Here is an 898-nt window from a genome sequence, read left to right on the forward strand (position 1 = left end):
GGAGTGGATTCAGCATGGAAAATCATAGTTAAATAAAGTTAAACAGGTCTCTTCAGTATTTCTTGGGAGCTCTAAAATGCAAATGTGTGTTGTGGTTCTTTAATGAAAATGGTCTATTTCCTAAACGTAGTGGGTCTTGCAGTCCTTTATTCAGAGACGTATCTCAGGGACTTGCATTACTAAGAACTTGCTTTAGTTTAAAACTCACTGATTACAGCAAAGATATCCAAAGAAACAGACTGAAATAATAATGATAAAGAAATCAGGAGATCTTGGAAATGGTTGTTGCTAAGTTATAGACAATAACATAACTTTTAGCAGTTAATGGAAAGTCACCCCAAACCAAAAGGGAAAGTCACCTTGTATTTCACTTCTCTGTGTTTGGCTTTAACACGAAGGAGTGAGAGGCCTCACATACAGAAGGCCTTGCCAGTTCCCCCATGATGTCAGCCCCCACATGGATCCACTGGTGACATTGTCCCTCTCTTCTTTTTTCCTAAGACTGTGAAAAATGCCAGTTTCCTCTCAGCATCACCCCTAGTTGCCCCATTATCCTCTGCATTTAGGTGTGCGGCCTGTCTGCCCCTGGCAGCAGGACAGCCTGACTCTCAGGCCAGTGGAACTGGCCATTGAGTCAACTTATTTGGGTTTTCCTTGTCACTCAGCTCTCTGAGGCACAGTGTGGGAAAACCCATTAACCAACCAACAGCTTACCCCATTGATTGATCATCGATTGCATAAATAGTAGTTTTCTAGCTAATGATGACTAACAATCACCTATTTATATAGTCTTTTACCATTCTGAAAGATTTCTGTGTGATTTCTCACGCCTCACAACAGCTCTGTGAGACATAACTGTGGCCCTTTACCAACAGGGAAACCGAGTCTCAGGGAAGTA

The 898-nt window shown here is 42.0% G+C and overlaps 1 annotated feature.

Moving 5' to 3' along the window:
• Positions 410-579: an enhancer, noted in NCBI's record as "experimental_79588 CRE fragment used in MPRA reporter constructs". NCBI's record gives its function as "activates a minimal promoter by MPRAs in K562 erythroleukemia cells, with activity observed for both the introgressed and non-introgressed 4:38270033 variant alleles {active_cell/tissue: K562}" and the evidence as "EXISTENCE:reporter gene assay evidence [ECO:0000049][PMID:34662402]".

Source organism: Homo sapiens, chromosome 4, assembly GCF_000001405.40.
Source record: "Homo sapiens chromosome 4, GRCh38.p14 Primary Assembly".
NCBI lineage: Eukaryota > Metazoa > Chordata > Mammalia > Primates > Hominidae > Homo > Homo sapiens.